The following is an 8797-nucleotide window of genomic DNA, read 5'->3' on the forward strand; positions in this document are numbered from 1 at the left end:
GTAGCTGTTCTGTCTGCAGTCAAGCATGGGGCACATTCCAAAAGATACAGACTAGTGCTCGTGCTAGATTTTTGGTTTTATCCTACTTGTGCAAAGAACAGAAAGAGCCTTTAAATACTTTAGCCAATGCACACATCTTGAAGACCATTTATCTCACTAGTGAAAAACCATTGCTGATGTAGGGTCTCAGAAAACGAAACCCCAAAATGAAGACCTCAGAAGCAGCTCTCTCTGACCTCCTGCCCACCTGTCTCTGGCCTCTCATTCTCCCCCGAGGCTAACCATAGAAACTAGAATCCCTCTTCCTTAAGGTGGGTCATAGAAACCAGAACTCTTTGCCCCCAAAGCCAGCCATAAAACCTAAAAATATTGCTCTAACTTCCTTCCTGTATTTTTGTATAAAAATTGGCATAGAGAAATCATCTGAACTACCTTGTTTGCCTGTGGGTCATAAGACCCCCATTCCAGAAAGGGTTCTACCCCACACCCAGAAGGGAGGAATGCTGTACAGAGAGGCCATGAAGCATGTAAACAGACAGGTCTTGCTGGGTTTCCCTGCTCAGTTTTCTAGCATTAGATTATACTCTCTTTGTTCAATCATAATTTCTACCTGCTGTCTGTACTTTGTCGAACCTAAGCATAAAAATGGAAAGTTACTTTGTATCTTTGGGTCTCCTTTCTGAAGGCTATTGTGTCACATAAAATTATAATCAAATAATGGTATGTCTTTCCTCTCATTAATCTCCATTCGTCAGTGATTTTCAGAGAAACTTCACAGGGCAAAGGGGAAGTTTTCTCTTGGCCCTTGCACTAACATTCATCATGTTCTTTATCCCAGGCTATGGGAGAGTGAGGCAGAAGAGCATGACAAGCCAAAGCTGTCTTGTTACGCAGATAAAAATCTCTCTTGTAATCTTGGAGCTGCCCTCAGATGGAATAGACAGAGTCACTGTTTCTCTGTCAGACCTTTAAAAGTGTCAGACCTTCTGAGTTAATCTTCACTAGACCTAGATAAGGGAGATGAAAGGGGCCTCAGAGAAAGCCTGTTTGCTTCTGCTGTTTGTTTCACTAATGTAGATTTTCTCTGCAGATCTTTGAACAGGACAGCTGTTCAAAGCTGTTCCTGTGGCCTGCAGCCTCTCTGACTAGCTATCTAAAAATATGCCAAAGAAGTATATTTTGAGGTAAAATAGTCTGATTTCCTTCGCTGGGATACATTGGGAGAACCCCTTTTTCAAAAATTTCCAGCCACGGACAAGCCACGGATGCTTGAAGTTCCACTGAAGGTAGCTCATTCTTCTGGTCTAGCTTTATTATCAAGCGCAGTCCACTTCAAAAACAAATCAGTGAATAAAATTGAGGCAAAGTGGGGAGAGAGCTCCACAAAGGTGGTCACCTCAAGGGAATTGGAAGGAGAAATTTTTGAAGGGAGTAACAGAAGATGGTTTTTAAACATTTTTGCAGTATTATCTTACCGAAAATTTAACTTCAACCTAGAGAAATCTATAACATCCGACTTTTGCCCACGCACTGGTGTATCCAGTCTACCTTTGTACCTATAGGCCTGTGAATGATGCTCAGCTCCTGGCGGTGGAGAGTCAGTGGCTTCTCCAAAGCTATTCTCAAGCTCCTTGAATCTGCTGATCAGGGTCACAGCACTTCTTGGGTAGGAGCCCATGCCTTGGCTTTTCTGATATGTGGAGGCAGTGAGTACTCCTCTGCAGGGCTGCTATGCTGCTCAGCCCCAGGGACCATGCCCTCTACAGTGCTCAAGGGCTTAAGAGGATGCTGTGCACTTAGAATACACCTGGACGCTGCCCCTCCCTTCCCTGGGAGCTGTTCCTGGCCAGGTTGACACCCTTCTCTTTTCTTTCAAAGGCTGCTTGAACTTTCCTCTCCTCTAGCCACTGGGTGTGTTTCCTGCATAGTCAGGAGTGTGTGGAGAGGCCTGTGCTGTCATAGCTTTCTCTCTCTGTCTCTTTTTTTTTTTGTCACCCAGGCTGGAGTGTAGTGGTGCAACTGTAGTTCACTATGCAGCCTTGAACTCCTGGCTCAAGCGATCCTCCCACCTCAGCCTCAGGAGTAGCTAGTGCACCACCATGCCCCACCATGCCTGGCTAATTTTTAAATTTTTCTGTAGAGAAGGGGTCTCCCTATGTTGCCCAGGCTGGTCTCAAACTCCTGGCCTCAGATGATCCTCCTGCCTTGGCCTCCTAAAAGTGCTAGGAGTATAGGCGTGAGCCACTGTGCCCAGCCCTGTCTTAGCTCTCTTGATCCCTGAAGTGGGGTTTCTTTCTGAACCCCAGGGACACCGTCCAAAGCTGTTTGAGGGGCCAGACTGGGCAAGAATCAAAAAAACAACACATTCTATTCAGGAAAACCCTCTCTGGAGCAGCTTGTTTTCCTCTACCTGGTAAACTTTTACTTATCCTTCATGACCCAGCTCAGGTGTTACCTTCCTCATGACATTTTTGACATTTCCACTGGCAGGGTTACAAGGCGAGGATCGTTCTGTTTTTTTCCGGGCATCCTTAGTGCACTGCTCGTTCTCTATAGAAGGAATAGTCACACTTATTGGTCACATCCTCTGTGTCAGGCATCTTCCCGGTGCTTACATGCATAATCTCATTTCATCAACTCCAGAATGCTCTGAGGTGATGTGATTTTTCAGGTGAGGACACAGCCTCAGGAAGGTCAGTTTGTCTGAGGTTACCCAGCCAGTAAGCAGTAGATCTAGGATTCAAACCCAAGCTAATCTGACTCCAGAAGACACAGACTGCTTTTTCTCTGTGCTACATGGACCCACTGTGGCTTCTGCATCACTCTACATTGTAACCTAGTAGTTGCAGTCAACACAAGACCAGATCTCTGAGGTTAGAAACCATGTTCACTATCTTTGAATCTCCAGAACTTAGCTTGCTGCTTGACCCACACAGAAGACACTGAGTAAATGCCCAAAGTGTCACTAATTAGGAATTCAACTGCATTAAGCGAATACCCAAGGGAAGGGTGTAGTCTGAGAGGGCCTACTAGTCTTCATTGAGTGTGGGATGACTTTCGTGTTGCTAAATCCAACTGCCAATGCTTCATCTCAACTTATTTGACCCATTTGCATTTAGAAACATTGATGGTTCCCTCCTCTTAATACTTTCTCTACTTGAAGTGTGCATGCCTTTTTTTGCCTCCTTCCTTGTCACTTCTTTGCCGACTTGCTGGCCCCATCTTCTCCCCTGTCCTACTGCTGGAGGGCCCTGGGCCCTGTCCTTGGTCGTCTCCTTGCTTGCTCACTCACTTGGGGATTTCAGTTTACCTTATGCCTTTAATAAACACCATTTGTCTGGCCAGCTGCGGTGGCTCACGCCTGTAATCCCAGCATTTTGGGAGGTCGAGGCAGGCAGATCATGAGGTCAGGAGATGGAGACCATCCAGGCTAACACGGTGAAACCCCGTCTCTACTAAAAATACAAAAAAATAGCCAGGTGTGGTGGTGGGTGTCTGTAGTCCCAGCTACTCGGGAGGCTGAGGTAGGAGAATGGCATGAACCCAGGAGGCGGAGCTTGCAGTGAGCTGAGATTGCCCCACTGCACTCTAGCCTGGGTGACAGAGCGAGACTCCATCTCAAAAACAAACAAACAAAAAACAACAAAAACAAAACAAAACAAAACAAAAACCCCACCATTTGTCTATAGAATTTATGTTTCCAGCCCCAATGTCTTTCCTGAATCGTGACACATATAACCAACTGCCTGGTACACATCTCCCCTCAGATGTCTAATAGCCATCTCAGTTACAACATGTTCAAAGCTGAATTTCTGATTCCACCTCCTGCTCCCTGCCCCTAGCCCCGGACAAAGAAAAACTGCTCCTTTGCTGACTCCCCAATTCCTGCAGTCTTTCTCAACTCTACTCTTTCTTCTGCACCTCTCATCTAATTCACTAGGAAATGCTAAAGAATCTGATCACTTCCCATTACTTCTCTGCCGCTAAGCTGCAATTATCTCTCACACGGGTTAGGAGAAGTTAGTTTTCTAAATGTTCTCCCCTTAGCTCACCACTCAAAACTCCATAAAGTTTTCTGAACACAGTAGCAAGAGTGATCTTTTAAAATATAAGTCAGAGCATGTTGTTTCTCTGTTCAAAATCCAGTTACACTAAAAGTAAAAGCTAAGGGGCTTACAATGGCCCACTGACACCCATCCTCATTGTTCTCCTTACCTCCCTGACCTCATCTTCTAGTGTCCCCATCTCTTTCCCAGCTACACGGGCCTCTCGCTTCTTCCCCAGTGCCAGTAGTGCCCTGGCCGTGAGTCTTTACCCTCACCATATCCTTTGCATTTCTTTACACCCAACATGTATACCTGGCCCAATCTCCCACCTTCTTTGTAACTTTTCTAGAATGTTACTTTCTCAATAAGGCTTACTGGGACCACCCACTTAATTTTGCCAACTACCTTCACACCTGCATTAATCCGTTTTCATGCTGCTGATAAAGACATACTCAAGATTGTGTAATTTATAAAGAAAAAGAGGTTTGATGGACCCACAGTTCCACGTGGCTGGGGAGGCCTCACAATCATGGCAGAAGGTGAAAGGCACATCTTACATGGTGGCAGGGAAGAGAGAGAATATGTGCAGGGGAACTCCCCTTTATAAAACCATCAGATCTTGTAAGACTTATTCACTGTCACAAGAATAGCATGGGAAAGACGTGATCTTATGATTCAATTACCTCCCATAGGGTCCCTCAAATGACACGTGGGAATTATCAGAGCTACAATTCAAGATGAGATTTAGATGGGGACACAGCCAAACCATATCATTCTGCCCTGGCCCCTCCCAAATCTCATGTCCTCGCATTTCAAAACCAATTATGCCTTCCCAACAGTCCCCCAAAGTCTTAACACATTTCAGCATTAACTCAAAAGTCCAAAGTCTCATCTGAGACAAGGCAAGTCCCTTCCACTTATGAGCCTGTAACATCAACAGCAAGTTAGTTACTTCCTAGATACAAGGGGGTACAGGCATTGGGTAAATATAGCTGTTCCAAATGGGAGAAACTGGCCAAAATGAAGTGGTTACTGGCCCCATGCAGATCTGAAATACAGCAGGGCAGTCAAATCTTAAAGCTCCAAAATGATCTCCTTTGACTCCATGTCTCACATCCAGGTCATGCTGATGCAAGAGGTGGACTTCCATAGTCTTGGGCACCTCTGCCCTCGTGGCTTTGCAGGTTATAGCCTCCCTCCTGGCTGCTTTCACAGGCTGATGTTGTCTGCAACTTTTCCCTGGGCATGGTGCAAGCTGTTGATGGATCTACCATTCTTGGGTCTGAAGGACCGTGGCCCTCTTCTCACAGCTCCACTAGACAGTGCCCCACTGGGGATTCTGTGTGGGGGCTCCAACCCCACATTTCTTTTCTGCACTGCCCTAGCAAAGGTTCTCCGTGAGGGCCCCACCCTGCAGCAAACTTCTGCCTTGGCATCTAGGCATTTCCATACATCTTCTGAAATCAGGCGGAAGTTCCCAAACTTCAATTCTTGACTTCTGTGTGCCCACAGGCTCAACACCACATGGAAGCTGCCAAGGCTTGGGGCTTTCACCCTCTGAAGGCCATGGCCCCTTTTAGCCATGGCTAGAGCAGCTTGGATGCAGGGCACCAAGTCCCTAGGCTGCACACAGCAGGGGGTCCTCGGCCTGGCCCCCAAAACCATTTTTTCCTCCTAGGCCTCTGGACCTGTGATGGGAAGGGCTGCCACAAAGGTGTCTGACATGCCCTGGAGACATTTTCCCCATTGTCTTGGTGATTAACATTTGGCTCCTCGTTACTTATGCAAATTTCTGCAGCTGGCTTGAATTTCTCCTCAGAAAATTTTTTTTTTTTCTATCACATCATCAGGCTGCAACTTTTCCAAACTTTTATGCTCTGTGTTTCTTTTAAAACTGAATGCTTTAAATAGCACCCAAATCACCTCTTGAATTCTTTGCCACTTAGAAATTTCTTCCACCAGATACCCTAAATTATCTCTCTTAAATTCAAAGTTCCACAGATCTCTAGGGCAGGGGCAAAATTCCACCAGTCTCTTTGATAAAACATAGCAAGAGTTACCTTTACTCCAGTTCTCAACAAGTTCCTCACCTCCATCTGAGACCACCTCAGCCTAGATTTCATTGACTATATCATTATCAGCATTTTGGTCAAAGCCATTCAACAAGTCTCTAGGAAGTTCCAAACTTTCCCACATTTTCCTGTCTTCTTCTGAGCCCTCCAAACTGTTCCAACCTCTGCCTGTTACCCAGTTCCAAAGTCACTTCCACATTTTGGGGTATCTTTACAGCAGTACCCCACTACCTGGTACCAATTTACTGTATTAGTCTGTTCTCATGCTGCTAATAGAGACATACCACAGACTGGGTAATTTATAAAGGGAAGAGGCTTAATTCGCTCACAGTTCCATGTGGCTGGGGAGGCCTCAAAATCATGGCAGAAGGTGAAAGGCACATCTTACGTGGCGTCAGGGAAGAGAGAGAATTTGTGCAGGGGAACTCTTCTTTACATAATTATCAGATCTCGTGAGACTTATTCACTGTCATGAGAACAGCAAGGGAAAGACCTGACCCCATGATTCAATTACCTCCCACTGGGTCCCTCCCACAACATGTGGAAATTATGGAAGCTACAATTCAAGATGAGATTTGAGTGGGGACACTGCCAAGCCATATCAACACCCCACCTTTAATCTCCCTTGCTTTTTGTTTTTTGTTTTTTCCAGAACACCTAAATATTTTTAACATATATCATTTCATGGCTCCTATTTCAAGTGGGGTGGTTACTGGGGATAGTCATTCACTTATACATTCATTCATTCACACATTTTTTCAAATATGTAGTAGGTACCTACTAGTCAGGCTCTAGTGATATAGAGATGAATACATTGTGATTCCTATCATAAAAAATGTTTTATTCTGGTTGTTAAGAAGTATATAAACAGGCCATGGGTGGTGGCTCATTCCTGTAATCCCAGCACTTTGGGAGGCTAAGGCAGGAGGATAACTTGAGCCCAGGAGTTTGAGATCAGCCTCGGCAACATAGTGAGACTCCATCTCTACAAAAACTAATAAAAGAATCAGGCAGGCATGGTGGCCTATGCCTATAGTCCAGCTACTTGGGAGGCTGAGGTGGGAGGATCACTTAAGCCTAGGAGGTCAAGGCTGCAATGAGCCATGATCACGCCACTGTACTCCAGCCTGGCAGCCAGGGTGACAGATCCTGTCTCTCTTAAAAAAAAAAAAAAAAGAAAAAGAAAAGTGTGTGGTCTGGGTGCGGTGGCTCATGCCTGTAATCCCAGCACTTTGGGAGGCTGAGGCAGGGGATCACATGAAGCCAGGAGTTCAAGACCACCTGGTCAATGTGGCAAAACCCCATCTCTAGTAAAAATACAAAAATTAGCCAGGTGTGGTGGTGCCTGCCTGTAGTCCCAGCTGCTTGGGAGGGTGAGGCAGGAGAATCACTTGAACCTGAGAGGTGGAGGTAGCAGTGAGCTGAGATCACATCACTGTACATCAGCCTGGGCGACAGAGTGAGACCTTGTTTAAAAAACAAACAAACAAACAAACAAACAAACAAAAAACTCTGAACAGGTAATTAGAGTCTGAGAAGTTTCCATTGTAGTGGAGATAGCAGAAAAGGCTCTGTACAAGAGTAGCTCTTGAGTATTCCTTAGTGAATACTGAAGAATTAACGAACACCAAATTTAGCACAGGTAGAAACTGAGCCAAAGAGTGTTTGTTTCCATTCATGTATATTAAAAGTCTTAAGTTCATGCAAAGCCTCCCAAAGTTTCTATAAAACAATGCTTGAAACCTCATTCCAAAAGAGGCAACATTCTTAAATGGACATATCTTCATGCTGAAGTCTTCAGAATTCTGAAACCTCATCTACTAAACTAAAAGCTGACATTATTTGAAATAAATACTCTTGTTGAAACTTGGGTTTGAAATATTCTGTTGCATCCCAGATCTGTTGATCATCTGTTGTGCCTGAATTTCTGTAGGGACAATATTTAACCTTTGTGTTAAGTGGTTCTTAAATGGCACTGTGAGGAGGGTAGTGTCACATCAGCACACTACAAAGTGCCTCTGTATCCCCGGTGACATTTTGTTCTTTGTGAGACCTCTGAAGTATTGCTTAATGGCAATTGTTGTCATCATAGGATGGGTAAAGGTATCTTGTCACAGATTTAGAACTGGCTTAGAGACAGGAAACAAAGTGAATCAGTAGAAATGCACATTTGTTTGGAAGGAAAAGGGTAAACACAGTGGGGTTCCTCAGGGATTGGTCTGGCTCAATCTTATTTAAAACATTTATAAATGATCCAGAGAAGGGCTCACACAGTGAAATCTCCAAAGTCTGCAGCTAATGCTGAACTACTCTGGATATGGAAAAGCTAAGTGGATGAGTACCAATGCAGGGAAAATTTAGGAGGCTGTTCTAATATGTAGGAAAGCAGTAAACATAGACTTTTATTTTTTTTTAGAAGAGTTTCACTCTGTCACCCAGGCTGGAGTGCAATGGCGCAGTCTTTACTCACTGCAACCTCCACCTCCCGGGTTCAAGTGATTCTGATTCCTCAGTCTCCCAAGTAGCTAGAAATACAGGCACGTGCCACCACTCCTGGCTAATTTTTGTATTTTTAGTAGAGACGGGGTTTTACCATGTTGGCCAGGCTGGTCTCGAACTCCTGACCTCAGGTGATCTGCTGCCTGGGCATCCCAAAGTGCTGGGATTACAGGCATGAGT

This window comes from Homo sapiens, chromosome 10, assembly GCF_000001405.40.
Source record: "Homo sapiens chromosome 10, GRCh38.p14 Primary Assembly".
NCBI lineage: Eukaryota > Metazoa > Chordata > Mammalia > Primates > Hominidae > Homo > Homo sapiens.